Source organism: Homo sapiens, chromosome 15, assembly GCF_000001405.40.
Source record: "Homo sapiens chromosome 15, GRCh38.p14 Primary Assembly".
Taxonomy (NCBI): Eukaryota; Metazoa; Chordata; class Mammalia; order Primates; family Hominidae; genus Homo; species Homo sapiens.
The window spans coordinates 59,994,836-60,012,863 of NC_000015.10; the positions used below are offsets into that span (position 1 = coordinate 59,994,836).

Sequence of the window (18,028 nt, forward strand, 5' to 3'; positions counted from 1 at the left end):
AAGATGAGACATTTGCCTTCGAGCTCGCTAAGAAAGTGGCACCTGGTTGGTGGAGGGGAGAGATACCAAATGTCGGCGCCCAGCCTGAAATAAGTGGCATGGGACGCGCAGGGAGGGCGTTCAGCTTCAGAAAGCAGCGGCTACGCTGGGTCCAAACCCGGCGGCTCGGGAGGCCATAGCTCCTAGGTGCGTCCGAGCTCCTGCTACCCTGCGCGGTGTTGTCCTACCGGAGGAAGTGGCTGATGGGCAGTCTAGGATCCCGGCCCCTGACCCAGGGCCCTCTCCTCCCTGCGGTCCTGGTCCGGGTCATGGTCCCGGGGCTGGTCTGAAGTGCTGTCTACAGAGGGCACTTGGGGAAACATCGTAGGTCCGGAAATTCCCAGGGAAAGTTTTTGCAGGAGTTGTGGACGCCGCAGCAGCCCCAACTCTCCCAACCCAGCTTGCGACCCGAGAGAAGTCGCTCACACTTCTCTTTGGGGGAGGGCGACAGTTCCGGGGAGGACGCTTGGATCCCGAAAATGACGGGATCCAGGTCCCACAACCCTCAGGAAGCGCTGCGGTCTTCAAAACTGCGCAGCTAAATTCCTGGGCGCATTCTCCCTTTCTTGGCGAGTCCAGTGCCCGTGCCGGGGAGCATTCCAGCCCAGCTTACCTCGGCAGGTAGAAAGCACAGCATCGAGGCTGCGGACCCTACATCTGGGCTCCACATCACAGCCATTTTTACCAGATAATGCAAGAGAAATAAACTCTCCTCCCTTGGAAACACAAGTCCCCCACCCCCTTCTTTTTGGGGGGAAAAAAATCACCACAGGTTAGAAACTGAAAAGAGTTTATTTGAAGGCATACAAATGCATATTTATTATACACATGTAGGAATTAACAATGTAAATTACACCGCCAGCAGTTGCTGGTTGTTTATTCATTAGATCTTTAGAAAATCTACATTGCCTCCAGACAGCGCGATGATAATGTGAAATACACAAGCAGTTTACATAACCAACTTCAACGCACAGCTTCGTGCTCCGCCACTCGGAGTCATCAACAGGTCGCGGGGAAGCGGACGCGAAGGAAAACCTAAGTTCCTAACAACTATGGAAAATCTGGGAAACCTACGAGGCCCACAGTTCCCTCTGTCCTTTTGGGAAGCGATAAAAGACTTGAAGAAAAAGAAGCAACTGTCTCACTATGGTTCATCTACTTTATCTCGTTTGTGTGTAGCTTTTTTTTTTCTTTGCAATTAAAAAAAAATCGGTAAAAAGAGGATGGATGGGCGGAACGGAAAGATCAATATCCTCCCCAAACTCCTGGTATTCCGGAGTGTTCCTTAAAGACTGTGAACCCAAACTGCTTTCAGGGGTGAAGTAAGTGACGAGAAGGTTTCCTTTACTGCCGGCGAGGGAAGAAAAGACAGCCTACCTTGGCTAAGGGAGGCCACCGGCTCCACCAATCAAATCGCTATGGCTATGAACAAATGGTTATCCGCTCCAAAGAAAATCACTTGCTGGATCAGCCTTCTTGGAATTATTAAATCCTTCGTGGTTCTAGATTTATCCAAAAGATGGAGATGAGGTGACACTTTAAGAGAAAAGTGGCAGTGCAGACTTAATGGTTATTTTAAGTACATAAATATTGTATATAAATATATTTACAAGATTCTTTCCCAGTAAAAATATTAAGTAAAACTAAATGCGGGGGCGGGTGCCAACTAAGGTCTCTTGCGTCGGGCCAGTGAACGACGTCAGCCGCAACTCTAAGTGGCAAAGTTTTCGAAAAACCTCGCCGATCCTCTGAAGATCGGGTTAATGATTTACCCCACTCGCCAACCACCTGATGTAGCCTACCGCTACGCCGCGGAGGTGTGCCAGGATGCGCTGCAGGGGGGGATGCTGGGGCTGTTTTCTGCTTCTCTCTTCTCTTCCTCCCTCCCTTCTTTAGCTCCTTTATTTTGGTTAGGCCAGCTGAGCACAGAAGAAAATGCCCTGCCAATCCCGGAAAGTTTGCGCTACTGGGAATGCCTCGAGTCAGTTTGCTGACCTAAAATCTGGTGTTCATACCTGTGCTGGAATTGAAACTGTAGGCTGAGAAAAAAGGCGAGAGAAGGAGGGTAGAGGGGAAAAGGTTAGCGGGAATGAGAAGGGGTGGGGAGAGGGAGGGAGAAAATGGGGGAAAGGAACGCAGGGGGCAGGAGTCTATTTCTGGGGCGTCGGTAAGTCCTTGGGGCAACCTGGTTTTCCCCTGCTGACAAGCTGTGTCAGTTAACTGCAACCCACCAAGAGTCAGCCAACAGCCCCCGCGCTGCTAGAGCGCCCAAAGCAGAGGCCGGCCGCGAGGAGGGCCAGAGTGCACCGCGGGGGGGTTTGCACCGCGCTGGGGTTGGCACCGCGCGCTAGGACCCACGAAGCGGCGCGCTAGTCCCAGGTGAGCACGAAATGAGCGGAAGGACTCTGCCGCGGAGGGGCGGCGAGCGCCTGGCTGCGCTGCAGGCCCCGCCAAGCCCCGCCCCCTAGCCATTCTTAGCTGGGGGAGGCCAGCACGGATCAGCCGCTTTCTTTCTTTTCTCTCTTTCTTTTTCAAACCCGCTTTGTGGGTGGCAACTCAGCGGGGGACGCATGGAGACAAGAAAACAAAAAGCAGAGAGAGAGGGGGAGAGAAGGAGAAAGGGAGAGAGGGAGAGGGAGAGACAGAGAGAGATCTACAAATAGTTTTTAACCTGCCTAGGAACACAGCGAGTTATTACATTTGAAAGCTGTTGTGGTCTTCAGCGAAACCTGCTTCTGCCATTAAGAAAACACATACTACACACGTTCACCCTGGTTAAGCTCTCCTCCCTGGTCAGCCTGAACAAACAAAGCAGAAGCGCAGGGTTTTAAGGCTGAAGATCTATAGGTTATCCGGTTTCAAAACAAATTAAAGCAGAGGGATCCACCAAAAAAATATATATTATAGATGCAAAATATTCTTCATTTCACATATCTGCAGTTGCCCCCCCCCATCGATTTTATTCCAATTTATTAGCAAAGCACATTTTAGCCTACTGTCCGGGATTTACCTGAATCTATTCAATCAGTAACTTATTTTTCCCAGATCCTACATTTGAAGGAGCTTAAACCCGTTTTTCCCACTTATTGGAAGCTTTAAAACACTTTATAAAGCTAAAAATCACTTTCCTGTTGCAGCTTTTCCAAAATTCCTCCCCCAAAAATAACATTTAAGAGTGGGTGCCCAGCCAGAAATACTGATTTTTTAAAAAACTCAGCAAACCAATAATTTTTGACAAAGAAAATTAATATGAACAGTATAGGATGATTTTTCTCTCCCTCCCTCCCCACTTTAAAAAAAAAAACCCTTTGCTCCACCCCGCTATTAAACAAAACACAATACCTTTTTCTGGGTGGTACTGCACAGAAGTTGATTCAGTTTTGACAATGTTGTTTAGCTATCATTTGCTATTTTGAATGAATGGGAGCAATCCCCCCTTTTACAACATTTGTTTCCTATTATGGAGAGGTGCAGCAGTTGAGGGCAGACATGTGAAAGTGGCTGTTTGATTCTCTTTTTCATCTCCCTGACCCTGCTTTTGTCCCTTCTCACCCTGGGAATGTCACGCCTCGCTACTTCACTTTGAGATGCTCGAGAAAGTGGCTTTGTTATTCCCTTTTAGACATACACGAAATTGTTCTCATTCCCCCCGCTGTAAAAGATACTTCACATCGGGACTCGGTTCACAAGTGCAATGCAATTTGGCTTAGTCCAACCTTTGTTCTGCTTGTACAAATGAGCGAACAGTGCACACATTATACAGTTGATCTACTGCTGTCTTAACCCCAGAGTTAGGGGCTGGGAGAAAAGCAAGTTAATCCCTTCAATACCAAGGTGGCTTTAGCAATATTTCCTCCAATAATAATAATAGATTTGAATTGCTTCTTCTATTTCACACAGTACAGAGCAAAACTTATGGGGAGGGTTTAGCAACAACACAAAAAGCCTTCCACCACCCTTTTGCAAATAACTTTTTAAACAAATACATTTGTGAGCATGGTAATGCCCAATTTAAAGCTATGCAACTGTTTGTGCAAAGGAGGGATTTGATTTGGAAACAAAGATTTTAAAGCCTTGAAGTCTCAGAACAAATCACAGCCAAGCAAACATCAAATGGTATTTAGCAAACCAATTCCAAAGAGAAGGCATTGTGCTGAGCAGGGAGAGTTGTTTTCTCAGGCATTGAAATTGCTTGCTCACCATGATGGGGGAGGGGGAAGAGGAGAGCGGGTGGCACCTCTTGGGGATGGGGATCAAGCTGCACCAGCACCTAACTCTGGCTACTCTTTATTTTATGCTTGAGGTAGAGGGGAAACTGGGCCTTCCACGCTCTCCAAACCGCAGCAGCTGCTTGGGATATACTATTAAAATGTGTGGGGTGTTGCCTCCCTTTACCTCACTCCCAAGCAAAACACAGATTTAACTCTAGGTGCCCCAGCCACAGCCAGAGGCCCTATTCACCGCTGGACAAGTTATGCTGGTGGGGACTAAAAAACTGACACCCTTGAAGTTGAGCCCCCCAGTTTGGATGGGAGTAAAGGGTGAACAGGAAGTGGAGACTCTTGTCTTAGAACCCCACAAGATTGAGCCCGGAGGGGAGATCTGATTATGGCCAATATACTACTTGTCAAATGTTTTTTGTTTTGTTTTTGTTTTTTGTTTTGTTTTTTCCTGTCTGTGATGAGTTAAGGTCCCCTTGTAGCCCAGTCACCAACGGATGAAATAGCTGGCTCCAAAGTTCCCCGGCAGACATTCTTCCCCACTAGTTGGAAAAAGTATGCTCCTGTGGCACCACAGTGCAGGGGTCGCTGGCGGGGGTAGGGGGTGTGGGTGGGTACGGAGTCCTTTCACTGCCCGTCGGCAGTTGGCACCAGAGCGGAAAGTGTGTCCCCTCCCCCGCCTCTCTCCCTTGGGCAGTTTGATTTCCCGCCAGACTCAGTCGGAGTGGCCTGGAAGAGCGGGCTCAAACTCCAAAGGCAGTCGTGGGAGAGTCGTAGCGGATACGTTTCCCCTGACATGCGCCGGGTGCTCGTCTCTGCCCCCCACCCGCCCCCAAAACCCAAACCTGCAAGTCGATGTTGTCCGGTGACCCCGGGAAAGGAGAACTTTCTGAGCTAGTTCCCTCTGGTCCCGAAATCCAGCACGTTAAAGCCAGGCCTTGCGGTGCTGGGGGGCTGGTGGGGGAGGCGCACAGACTCCGAGGACAAACAGCCCCCAGGACACTCGGGATGGCCATTTTTTTAATTGACCACTGACAGGCTGAGGGAGTTTGTTTTAGTGCTGAATACCCCAGGAACGAAATCCTTTTGAAAGGGAGGCTAAGTCGTTTCACGCCACCAAAGTGCAGATTTGAAGAATGACTGATGGGACAAAGAGGCGCGATGCGTTAGCGCGGGTTCCCAGAGCGAGCGCAGCACTGGGGCAAATGCGGGAGGCGGCCTGGAGAGGTGGGGCGGGGCAGGGGAGACTCGCAAGGCCCTAAAACCTGATATCGACGGCGCACCAGCCTTCGACCCTCTCCCTCAGCACATTTCACTGTCAATTTGGTAAAGGAGATGCAAAAAGCAGAAGGGAGAGGAGAAAAGTGTAGTCAAGAGGAGTGAAGGACCGGAGTGCTGTAGGAGAGGGGAAAGAAGGAGAGGGAGGGAGAGACTCAGACTGAGGAAGCGGAGAGGAGTTCAGGGAGACTCAGGGAGAAAGAAGAGGACCGGGCAAAGGAAGGCTTAGCCGAAACGCTCCAGGCAGCGCAGAGTTCATTTTCCAAGTGGGGACGACGGGTATTGTTTTTGGCACCTAGGAAACCTTCGGAAGCTGCCGGGTACTTTCCCTCCGCCTCCCGTCTATGTTTGGTAAATATTAACAAACCAGGGCGCGTTATTTTCTGGAGTGTGCATGGAGGGGCTGGCAGAGACTAGGGACAGATTTCCTCTCCTGGAGCCCCCGCCCCCAAAGCCCCAGCTCCACCCTTCACGCACACACACACCTGCTTGACAACAGAAGGAATCAAAATCAATATTGTATTTGTCACCCCTCTGTCTCCTTTTTACTCCCTCAGCAACCCGGGTGCCACTGAAGCGAATTGTGGATTTATGGAGGGAAATTAGCATAAATTATTACGAAATCTGTAGCCGTGTGTGGTCCAGCTTGTGGGAAAAGAGGCTATTGCGAACTCTCCAAGCAGAAAGGTGGTCGGTGGTGGGCTCTGCGGAGGCGATGAATGGCTATTGCACGAAAGAGATTTCCATTTGGTTTGCACATGGGTATAATTGACTTATGTGTATTTTATACAGTTTTCCCAACAACTCCCTAAGCCACCGGGTCGGATGTGCCTCCCCCCCCACCCCCACCCCGTGTTTGCTTTGGGTTCTGCACAATAGACTCTGATGCACTTTTCAAGATTTCTGGAAAGTGCTCCTTCCCTCCTCCTTTTCGTAATACCAGTCTTAAAATGCTGTCAATAACATGCAAATCCTCCCTCCCCGCCCTGGGCTTTGTAGACCTCCAGCAGAACCAAGATAAAACTTTGTAGCAAAGCCCAAGTTTTAAATGTGTTTCTCACAACTTCTCTCCTCATCCAAGGCAAACTTGTGCTACTGGGTTCGGTTTACTTAAGTAACCCTGGTCGTGTGCAATATGCGTCAAACTCCTATCTCCACACTAGCCAAACTTTAAAGATTCATCAGACACAAATTCCTACTTGTATCCTCGCATGTTCCAAACTTGGGGGTGACAACTTTCCCGGGGAGATAGACAAAGATTTATTCCAACTTCAGACTTTTTTTTTTAACCCGAACGTTTTTACTCTTAGAATTTAGTTAATCTCCTGTTTACTCTGAGCAATGATTTCGACAGGCATACAATGGCCTCTTTGCAGGGCAACAAAATGCCAATTGTTAAAATAAGAAAACACTTCTCTCTCCTTATTCCCCACCCTCAACACGCACCCATGCCGGTTAGAAAAGAATCTTCCTGGCTGTCACTGGGGGAACGGAGCAGAGCTTTCACTCCTATCTACATCCCAATTCCAGCCGCCCACGATATTTTATCGGTCTACGTATCAGTATGAACGGATGCACATATTTACTAAGAGGATCCTAAAAATTCCTGGGGGAGTCTATGCTGGTACCCTTCCACAGCAGGAGCGCTCCTGCCTTGCCCACAGTAACTGTTTTGTACCGAGGCCAGCTGTACTCGGGAGCAGGAAAGCTGTGGACCAGCGCCTTTCCATTCTGGGAAACACAAGCCTTGCCCACTATTCCTCATCACGGATCTCCCAAGCTCCCCAGCTCTTTGGACTCCCCAGCTCCTTCCTCCCCAGGACCTTCGATCCGAATCTGGCCGCACAAAGTAACCCCCCAAACGCCGCACCTCGTTATGACCTGAAGCGCGAGTAGCTGGGATGAGTACGGCTGCCTCCGGCCAAAGCTTGGCAGAGGTTCCACCCGAGTCCAAGTGGTTTATCTGCTGAGAAGGGCAATACATTTATCTGCCCTTCTCGAGCCATACCCCCAGAGACAGGTCAACATCCCTCCCCCAGCCCCTCGCACCCATCTCCTCCTCCCAGTTATTTTTTCCGAATTAAGAAGGTGACATTATTCTTTTCTTCAAGCACTTCTGTTAATATTGAAAAACGTGCGCTTGCATCTCAACCGAGGCAGCCCAGAGCCAGAGCCATTTCAATATTAATGAAATTGTTTAATCTCCTAAATTCATCGTGTTTAAGTTACGTTTTGGTGAGTTATTGACCGCCTCCGAAACTGTAGTTAATGAAGTTGTGTGTGTGTGTGTTTGTGTGTGTGTGCATTCGCGCGCTGAAAGATCTTTTTTATGCTAACCCCAAACAGCTCCACTAATAATGCTCTAATATCACTTAAAGTGTTGAAACTTAACACCCAGAATTCTCTACGATCACCACGTCTAGGGAAAAAAAAAGTTCTCCCATTTCTGGACTTTGAAGATGATTCTGTGTGGGCTGTAAGTATTGAGTTTTTAACAACGCAGTAAAATGAATGTCTTTTAAAAACCTTAAAGGTCGGAGAATGTGCAGAAACCCGTGGGAACTCCTGGTGTGTACTTATAGAGTGCGTGCATGCAGGCGGGGTCGACTCACTATTTATTTCATAGCAATTTGATGATGATGATGATGACGGCAGCGACGACGATGAGGATAATGATAATAATAATAATGATTCATTTAACCCTTCCAAGGCGAATCCGAACCGAAGGGAGCCTGCTGCTCGCACCAGGCGGAGTGACCCAAGGCACATTCCCCGCTCCCCAAGAAGGAAAACTCTATGGTTCTTTCCCCAAGTTGTAGAAGATACTGCTGTCTTAGTGGGATCGCAGGCGGCTTTTGCTACACTCTAAATCCTAAATAAGTTCTCCATACCAAAAAAAGCGGCAGTTGGGGGATGGGGGGTGGGAGGTTGGGGGGGTGGGAGGGCTGGGAAGGGGAGTTCCGGGTGTAAAATGAAAACTTCCAGGATGTGCCTGAGTCCTAAAGTTTCAAACCACCTGGGAAAAGCGAGAGCCCCTGAGGCTTACCTGGTGATAAACTGTGTCAAACAAACTCAGGCCCTCCCCAGGTCCGCACAACATTTGCCCCAACAGCTCCTGAGCCTCCATCCTGTGTCCAACCAAATTCCCGGAGGACTTTTAAAGCAAATACCTGGACTCTTCGCCCAGATACACTATTTTAATTTTTAAAAATTTGGTCAATACAGTTACATTCAAAATGGGTTCTTACATGGGGATGTCCAATCACATTTTGAAAGTATTTGTAAACCCCATCACTTTTTCAAAGCTACACACTAACTATACAAAGCTGAAGCAGCTGCATAGGAAAGTCAAGTCAAATTTCGACCTAACTCTCCGGGGACTGGGGGGCAAGGGTGTGTTTTCATTATTATAACCCATGCAACCAACCCCGGGTAGTGCTAAGCGCAGGAAAAGGGTCGGCTTCAGGGGAAAGCCGTGCCTAAAGTTACCTAACGATACAAACCGGATACAACGCAGAGGAAACAGAATACCCCAGCCAAGCAATTTCCATGTCAAACATCATCCGCGCGGCTGCTCCATCTGTGAACGTGAGTGGTCGCCTGGCTCCCTCTTCCGCGGCGGCCGCTTCCTCATACCTTCACACGGCGCACACCGGCCGGCGCGTCCAGCTGCCTGCCCAGTGGCCGAGGCTCTTCCCCCTCGCCCAGTCTTGAGCTGGAAGTGATTCCTATTGGCCAAGGTGTCCATGTAAATAGGTGTGAAAGAAACCAGAGCTGGCCGGGCTCTCCCTTCTCGCTCAGTCCCCTCCCTCTGCAGCCCCCGCTCCCCCTCCTCTTCCTCCTCCTCCCAAGGCGATTGTCATATGATAGCTAAGAAGTGGCACATTAATGAAGCGCCGCTACAGGGGTCTTTTCTGCTCCTGTCACCGCTTAAAACTATCAGATGGTTCGAGGGAGGACATGGAGGCAGCCACCTAGCTCAGCGGAGACGCGGAGCCCACAGCAGCGCCCTCCGGAGCCCTAACACGTCGCTGCCACCATCCGCGCCGGGACTCCGCAGCCGAGCTCGGCCGCCCGCAGGACGCTCCAGGAGCGTCGCGGACCGGGCGGCACGGGACGCTGCGGGGCTGAGCTCAAGAGCCCAGGTTCGCGCCGAGTCCAACCGGACCCGGACGCTGCGCGCGGAGTGCGCGTCGAGTGCGCGCCGAGAGAGAAGCGGCGCGCAGCGGCGTCCTCCCGGATGCGGACGCGCAACTTGAAGCAACTTTAAGGTGAGCAGCTCTCTGTTCCGTCCCTGCCCCCTATTCTGGCCCCAGTACCGACTTACTTCCCGGCTATCCTCGCGCCGTTCGCCGGCTTCCCCTCCCGCGCCCACTAAGCCCGCAAAGTTGCTGGCGAAAGAGTCCGGGCGCTGGCTGATCGAGCGCCGCAGGCCCCACCCCCGACCCCCGAAGTCTGTTACTCGGTCTGGCTGACCCCGCCGGTGTCTCTGTGCATCCATGCTACCTTTCCCTATTACCCACCCCCTTCCCAGATCCGAGCAGTCCGCCGGCCCGCGCGGACCCAGAGCAAGAAGAGGGCGAGGAAGAAGATGCCTCGGCCCGGCCGCAACACGTACAGCGACCAGAAGCCGCCCTACTCGTACATCTCGCTGACCGCTATGGCCATCCAGAGCTCTCCCGAGAAGATGCTGCCGCTGAGCGAGATCTACAAGTTCATCATGGACCGCTTCCCCTACTACAGGGAGAACACGCAGCGCTGGCAGAACAGTCTGCGCCACAACCTCTCCTTCAACGACTGCTTCATCAAGATCCCGCGGCGGCCGGACCAGCCAGGCAAGGGCAGCTTCTGGGCGCTGCACCCAAGCTGCGGGGACATGTTCGAGAACGGCAGCTTCCTGCGGCGCCGCAAGCGCTTCAAGGTGCTTAAGTCCGACCACCTGGCGCCCAGCAAGCCAGCCGACGCGGCGCAGTACCTGCAGCAGCAGGCCAAGCTGCGGCTCAGCGCGCTGGCGGCCTCGGGCACGCACCTGCCACAGATGCCCGCCGCCGCCTACAACTTGGGCGGCGTGGCGCAGCCCTCGGGCTTCAAGCACCCCTTCGCCATCGAGAACATCATCGCGCGGGAATACAAGATGCCTGGGGGGCTGGCCTTCTCCGCCATGCAGCCGGTGCCCGCTGCCTACCCGCTCCCCAACCAGTTGACTACCATGGGCAGCTCGCTGGGCACCGGCTGGCCACACGTGTATGGCTCCGCCGGCATGATCGACTCGGCCACCCCCATCTCCATGGCGAGTGGCGACTACAGCGCCTACGGCGTGCCGTTGAAGCCGCTGTGCCACGCGGCGGGCCAAACGCTGCCCGCCATCCCCGTGCCCATTAAGCCCACGCCGGCCGCCGTGCCCGCGCTGCCTGCGCTGCCAGCGCCCATCCCCACCTTGCTCTCGAACTCGCCGCCCTCGCTCAGCCCCACGTCCTCGCAAACAGCCACCAGCCAAAGCAGCCCCGCCACCCCCAGCGAAACGCTCACCAGCCCGGCCTCCGCCTTGCACTCGGTGGCGGTGCACTGACCCGCAGGAGCCCACGCCCCCTCTCGTTCTCCTCCCCACCACCTCACTCGCCTTCCCTGGCTCCCAGTCCTGCCGGCCCCCACCTGGGACCGCCACCCTAACTTGTTCATTTCACCTTCGGCCAACCCGCCTTGCCCCAAGAGAACTTTGTTTTGGACCCAGGAGACCAAACACAAACTTGCAGATGGGCCGAGAGGCGCGTGGGAGTTGTCCTCGCCCCCACATCAAGGAAGGCCGGGGCCACCTGAGCCGAACCATCCCCTCCCTGAGGCCCCGAAACCCCCTCCTATTTGACCGGCGGGGGAAACCCTGTCACCCCCTCTTCGCCGAGAAAAGCGCGTCTTCCCTCCGCCCAGATCGGCGGAGCCCCGAACTCTGCGCAGTTTCAAGACTAGAGAAACTGCCTCAGATGTTTCCAGGAACAGATCCCCCCCACACCCCCTCCCCGCGAGGGCTGCAACAGCGCAGGGGAGGGCCGGATCTCTTTACGTCTTGGAAATCTGCAGCAAAAAGGAGCCACTAATCTTCCTACCCCACTCGCCTCCGCCCATCCGGCAGGGGCTGGGCCGACCACAGCTTCCCGGGGTTGCGGCCCTGCCTCCTAGGCTTCTGCGGAGATTTTGTTGTTGTTTGGGGTTTTGTTTCCTTCCAGAGGCTCCAGGCGCTGGGAGTTAGGAAAGAGGCTGCCAAGCTGAGAAAGCGACGCTCGTCCTCACACAGCAAAACAAAACTAAAAGTAACCTTGTATTGTTTACAAAGCGCCCAGTAATATGTAAACAGTGAACTTGAATCTGTCTTGCTAGGCGGACGAACGGGCAAAGCCCACATTATAAGTACCTGTTGTAATGTGAATGTTTACTCTTCATTTCTGGCCAGGTTTAGAAAGGGAGGGAAGTGGGGATGGGAAAGTTAATTGGGATGTTAACTTTCCGATGACTTAGAGACCTTTTTAGCTATTTATTTTATTGTTGGGAAAAAAAAAAAAAAAAAAGAAGGAAAGAAAATGAAATAAGCCCAAACCAAGAAAGCATCAAGGGCAACCCGGGAAGAACTTAGATAAGCTGACTGGTAACATGAAGGGATGTCACCGGATAGCTCTCCCACGGACAAGTCTTTCTGTTTGCTACCAGAACTTTTCCAAGAAGCTAAAGGGCTGCAAAGAGATGTAAATACTTGTGAATAGGAATGATTATACACTGTGTAAAATGCACTTTTGTTTGCTGTATTCCTTTAGAATCTTAGATAATTGGCTGGAAAACGAACTGTTGTTCTGGTGTGACCTGCTTAAGTTAAAAAAAAAAAAAGTTGTAGTGTCATCAGAGCTGTAAAATTTTTACCTTTCATTTTCCCTCCCTGTACAGAATTAGCGTGGCATTTTAAATATTGATGTTCTTGTTCCCAGCATGCCTGTTTTAAAACAAAGGATTTAAAAAAAAAGGGTGTCTACATTAAATTATGACCTAGTCCAAATAATATTTTCTCATTAAAATATGTAAATTCAAATTTTAGTTTTGTGTGTTTTTGAAGAGTTGCTACAAATAATTTTGCAAAAGATGGATGTAATGCTTCCCTAAACATGCTTTCTGCAATACACTGAGTAATTTGCCTTTTTCATATCATATTGTGAAAACAGTCAAACCTCCTCTTATGCACTTGGAGATTGTGGGAGAAATTATTCAGATAGAATTTTGAAGGTATTTGTGTATAGGGAAAAAGGAAACAGACTATTTCTATTAAAGATCAGGTGCACAGGTGCAGTGGTGAAAGAAAACCTGTTTTTGAAACAATAAGTATTTTATATGTATTTTTGTCTTTATTGAAATATACATTTTATGAAATATAGCACTTATAAATATAAGGCTTATGTAGAAATCAGGTAGAAAATATGGAGACTTAAAAAGTAAAAACAGACTTGCTTACTCAATGCTTATATTCTGATGCATCTTATTTAGTGTGAGTATTCAGTTCCTTGCTCCTTTAAATTATTGCGGTTGTTAAAATTTTTTAAATAGAAATTACCTAGAGGTTCACCTTCATGTCCAGATACCTGTTCACTTTGAACTGAACAGATTTCTTTCACTCCTTCCTCTGAGAAGATAATGCTTGATGCACTTATTTTAAAGATATGAATGAAGTTACTTCAAATGCCTGACTTTAAGTACTTGCTTTTCTTCATATTTTTGCAGAGAATTAAAATTTGCCGAGAATTTATGGCGCAAGGCTAACTGACACTTTATTGAAAGGGTCACAATATTTCCAGAATGAGATGTGTATTCACCTAATGAAGTTACAAGGCAAAGAGTAACTTAAATGGTGATTAACACTTTACTGTGTAAAATGATTAAACAAGAGACCCTTGTGCAACACAGAGGGAGCCACATAGAAACCACAATCACTGTACTTCATAGGAGGATCCTTAGCACCTGCAACCATTATATATTTAGAGGACTACCTGAAAAACAACTTAGGATTAATGCAAAGGGTAATTAATCCTGTTCTGACCATTTTTTAAAAAGAAGGATCCCACACACAGCCAAAAAAAAAAAAAGTGGAAAATAAATGAATCATTGGACTGATTAAAATGCATGAAGCTACTAAAGCTCGTCAGACAGGGGACAACTAAACTCATTCATCAAGCCCAATTCACAATTATATCAACAAGATCAGCTAAAGAAAGCCTGGAAAACTTAACCGCCCTGGGCTAGGAAACTCTTAAAACTTTGTTCTCAACAAGAAATCATATACATTTTTTTAAAAAAAATTAAATATGTTTTCACAGTTTCCTGCAAAAGAAAATTAAGGCCATCTCTGGAATATGCTAATCTCATCGAATTTGGTAACACTGAATTCAAGCTGGGGATGAAAGAAGTATAGAGGGCTAACACGGGCCTCAAACATTTTATAAATCATCAGCTTAAATAAATGTTCCTCTTACAACAGGCACTAGAATTCAGAGATGAGTGATGTGTACATCTGCACATTTAATACCTAGAGGTAAATAAGATACAGATCCTATTTCTGATTTTTAGCAAAGGAGAGATTTCAACTCAGTATTTGAAAATGCTCTTTTCAGCTGGTAAGTTCGTCATGGTGTATTGCAAAGAATGAAATAACTTGGGCATTGTGAGCCCTCCTTTCACAAATGCAGGCATCTTTTCTCAGACAAAGTTGAATGAGTAAAGTAAAAAAAAAAATCCATTGATGATATTTTGACCTTGATCAGAAATCCAAAGGCAGTCCAAACACACATGCCTCCACCCCACTCCATCCCCGCCTCACCCCCCAGCTTTGAGACTTATGCCCTGTTTAGCTGAAGTGCCCCACAAATAAGGAAGTTTATAACTATGATACCTTCAATGGCTCTCTTTGTCATGTTAAATCTTTTCACCTGGCTCAAGTCCAAAGTCAATACACACAGCTTTAAAATAAAACTGGAAGAGACAACACCATGGAGTGGGAAGATGTCTGTGTGGTATTTGTCCTGAGAACTGAGATAAGTGATATTCTTTTCTATTTTGTAAATTCAAGTAGTATTGATTTCTTAGATTTCGGGTTTTTTATTTGGAAACTTGGCTATTCTATTACTTTTGGTTTTTTACATGATTCTGCATTTGACTGAGTTTTTAAACAGGATTCTCTGTGATTTGAGGAAGCGCTGACACAATGAATGAATTTCATGCACTTTCTCAAGAGAGAAGCTGCAGAAATTCTCACTGTTTCTATTATCTGATTTGGGGGTTTTGAAAAGCCTGAGGAGTGGTGCTAGTAAATGATCATCAAAATGGCCTAAATACTATAGCAGTGAGTTTAATTCCTTTAAAGAGATGAGAACACTGAGGGTCTTGCAAGCATAAATATGGCCAGGTGCTCAAGAAGGATGAGGTGGGAAGTAGGAGGGAGGAAGAGTCCAAGCCGGTGCTGCAGAGAGTAAGATTTACATTCGTTTATGCAAGACTGGGGGAACTGGGGGGTTGCAGAGTGTAGGGGTGAGGAGCGGGTTTATACTTTTACAAATGAAAATTCCCTTTGTAAAAGGTATTCAGCTAAGAAACAGAAAGGATCAGGATCTATTCTTAAATTCTTAATATAAATGTCAATTAATTTTTTTCTCCTAAAAGCCACATATGCACAGAGACACCCAAACAAAAACAAAACAAAAACCACCCAACCCACCGGCTGTGAAGCCTCAAAGGGGATGCATTTGTTTCGTTTAAACTAACAACAAATTATCTAATTAATATGTTTCAATTACAGCATGAAAGGCGCAGCCCCTGGACCGCCCGCCGTGGAGGCACAATAGCCCCAGAGCCCACTCTAGGAATTTACAATAACTTCACATCTGTTTCTTTATTTTCCACTTTTTGAGTCTAAAACTCCTCTCAAGATTACTGCAAACCACAGCCTCAGTTATGAAATATGTCCCAGTGTTAAAGGGGGATGAAACTTTGCCCACGGATGCTTCATTTGCAAGCAAAAAAAGTGAAAGCCCATTGAAGAGCATTAAACAAATATATTAGAATTCTGTCACTTTATGCAATTGAGTAGATCAAATGAAGGGTCCCGGCCACTTCATTCACTCTCATTCACTCGAATAGAAAATGCAAAGAATAGCAATCCGAGACTGGGCCACCGATGTAGATTTAGCTCCTTTTTACTGGGAGACAAAAAGGCTGAATTTTCACAAACACATTGCTGACTCGGGGACTAGGAAACCGGCACTGGAACCCCTTTGGAATTTAAATTCATTTTATCTTCCTCTCTCTTTGGGGGAATCTGTTTGCACTACAGTGCAAGATGCAGCAGGCATCCTCTGGCTTCTGAAAAAATGGGGGAGGGGAAGAAAGTGAGTGGGAGCAGGCAATGTGGGACTTGGGATTCTCAAGGAACTCTTGGTGATCAACAGTCAGGTCTGAGATAATAAGTTTAATTTAAACAAATCTTTACCTATGTCAATATAAACATCATTATATCATACACATCTCCAAATCTACCTCTTTGCTAGGCTTGGATTGCATTAACTACTTGTTTTCAAAAACCAGAATCACATCCGGGTCATCAAGTTTTCTTCTTTCAACAAATGTATCTGGTCTTTGGTGTCATAACAGGCTAGATAGCTGAGCTTGCAACCTCACCTGTTCTGTCTCTCCTGTCTGTCTCTGTTAGTCTCTTCTCTTCTCTCTCGCACACCACTTTCTGCTAGCTACCCTATCTGAGCACTGTGATAGTTAAACAGGTTATGTTAAAATCAGGAGAGAGGATACTCTTTGGTTAGAATTTCCAAGTGAGAATTCTCTTACATTTTCATTTTTCATCCCTGGAGTGGGGAAAATAAGCCACATGTGTCAGGGTAACGGAGATAATCTTGTGGGGATACTTTTATCTTTTGCCTGCCATGCTTGACGTTTTTGTTTAGGTAAACTTTGTAGACTTTTATCCACCAACATTGTAGAAAGGTTGCAGTGACTATTAGAGGTATTTCTAGAGACAGTGTAAGAAAAAATAAAGTAGACTTATCAACTTTCAAGATGTGATTGCAGAGGAATAAAGAAATTTTTCTCAAACTTGAAATCAAAATGAGATCTGATCTAAAGGAGAATATATTTGGAGGTTTTCTATTGTGTTTTTAAATTTTGTCTGGTATTATTTCCAGGTACCTTTAACATTTTTCATGTTAGCTTCAATAATTATAAAGTCATATTTGACACTATTCTTCATTTAATTCTTGGGATTGTGCCTGGAGCTAGGAATAGGACTGAGAAGGGGAAGTGGCTCAGACCTCCAGATAAATATATATGTATAAAAAAAAGATGTTGAAAAAATAGTTGGTTGCATATAACCATAGGCTATCAAACTCACTGGAACTAATGATAAACTAATCAGAGATTAACCATGAAAAAATGTCGTTGGCTAACTAAAATCTTCCCTGGAAGATTGTCCTTCTAGAATATCTTCAAGAATATTCGGACAAAGCATTCTTTGGGTGCAGCCTCCTTTTGCCTGTGTCTGCAAATAACCGATGTCAAATCAGTTGCAGTCTTTTGAAGGAACAAACTCTTGGAGCATTAATTAGAGCAGATAAGCTCAGAGATAAAACACATTCTTTAAGTATCTGTTGTTTGGAGACATTGTGATTCTAATTCATGCTTTGCAGCCTGTATATTTTTATTTACTCAGTTAATTTCTCTCCATGAGTGTTCCCCGTTAACTGGGTTTACTAAGTATACAGTACCGAAAGAGTTGGTTAGCAGAAATAATTGCTTTCAAACTCTGCTTTTGCTACAGATTTCTCTCTTCTTCATGAAATACAACATATTGGTAATTCCAGCACATGACAGCATATAGAGAAACTGTTCAGCAAAGGATTTTAATTTTGTGCTTAGAAGAAGCTTAGTATTTGTTAAGTAATATCTAGTGTTTTGCATTAATTAGAGCAGCTCCTTGTAGAGACATTACAGCCAAGAATGGTTTCACTTAACAGGAAAACTCTGAGTATCTGAACTTCCCCACTAAACCTGCTACGGTGAAACCAGAGCTGCAAATGTCTGTCTTGCTTGGAAATATCAACACATATTTTATTTATTTACATATGTTTGATAAACTAAAATTCTATGTATAACAATAAAATGATCATTGACAAGTTCCACATCACTCTGGGTGCCAGGTGAACTACAAAAAAAAAAAAGGCTGAAATAATGGTTTGTCTGAAGATTCTTAGCTTGATTTCATATTGGAGAAAAACTGCCAAAGACGACCCAGCCCTTCCACGTTGAATGGATTCTTCAGACTGAACCAAGTATTTCTATGACTGCCTAGAAGATGCAAAGTTGTATTCCCATTCTTGTGTTGTGTGTTGGTAAACAGGGGAAGGGCAGGGGAGAATAAGGGAGAACAGGCAAGGATAACATCTTCTATCAGTTTAGTC

At 47.1% G+C, this 18,028-nt stretch overlaps 1 protein-coding gene across 1 annotated transcript, besides 6 other annotated features; it reads left to right on the forward strand.

Moving 5' to 3' along the window:
• Positions 426-1,213: an enhancer, noted in NCBI's record as "NANOG-H3K27ac-H3K4me1 hESC enhancer chr15:60287460-60288247 (GRCh37/hg19 assembly coordinates)". NCBI's record gives its function as "activates a minimal SCP1, AML or CMV promoter by ChIP-STARR-seq in primed H9 embryonic stem cells {active_cell/tissue: H9 hESC(primed)}" and the evidence as "EXISTENCE:reporter gene assay evidence [ECO:0000049][PMID:30033119]".
• Positions 9,157-9,672: an enhancer, noted in NCBI's record as "NANOG hESC enhancer chr15:60296191-60296706 (GRCh37/hg19 assembly coordinates)". NCBI's record gives its function as "activates a minimal SCP1, AML or CMV promoter by ChIP-STARR-seq in naive H9 embryonic stem cells {active_cell/tissue: H9 hESC(naive)}" and the evidence as "EXISTENCE:reporter gene assay evidence [ECO:0000049][PMID:30033119]".
• FOXB1 (forkhead box B1) lies at positions 9,476-12,609 on the forward strand. The gene is made up of 2 exons (NM_012182.3): positions 9,476-9,808; positions 10,072-12,609. Exon 2 carries the CDS (start codon positions 10,129-10,131, stop codon positions 11,104-11,106), a length of 978 nt encoding a protein of 325 aa, NP_036314.2. The 5' UTR covers positions 9,476-9,808; positions 10,072-10,128; the 3' UTR covers positions 11,107-12,609.
• Positions 11,489-11,568: an enhancer, noted in NCBI's record as "active region_9502". NCBI's record gives its function as "activates an Ori minimal core promoter by ATAC-STARR-seq in GM12878 lymphoblastoid cells {active_cell/tissue: GM12878}" and the evidence as "EXISTENCE:reporter gene assay evidence [ECO:0000049][PMID:35858748]".
• Positions 11,649-11,768: an enhancer, noted in NCBI's record as "active region_9503". NCBI's record gives its function as "activates an Ori minimal core promoter by ATAC-STARR-seq in GM12878 lymphoblastoid cells {active_cell/tissue: GM12878}" and the evidence as "EXISTENCE:reporter gene assay evidence [ECO:0000049][PMID:35858748]".
• Positions 11,775-12,069: a silencer, noted in NCBI's record as "tiled region #13950; HepG2 Repressive non-DNase unmatched - State 4:PromP". NCBI's record gives its function as "represses a minimal TATA promoter and a strong SV40 promoter by Sharpr-MPRA in HepG2 cells {active_cell/tissue: HepG2}" and the evidence as "EXISTENCE:reporter gene assay evidence [ECO:0000049][PMID:27701403]".
• Positions 14,145-14,743: an enhancer, noted in NCBI's record as "OCT4-NANOG hESC enhancer chr15:60301179-60301777 (GRCh37/hg19 assembly coordinates)". NCBI's record gives its function as "activates a minimal SCP1, AML or CMV promoter by ChIP-STARR-seq in primed H9 embryonic stem cells {active_cell/tissue: H9 hESC(primed)}" and the evidence as "EXISTENCE:reporter gene assay evidence [ECO:0000049][PMID:30033119]".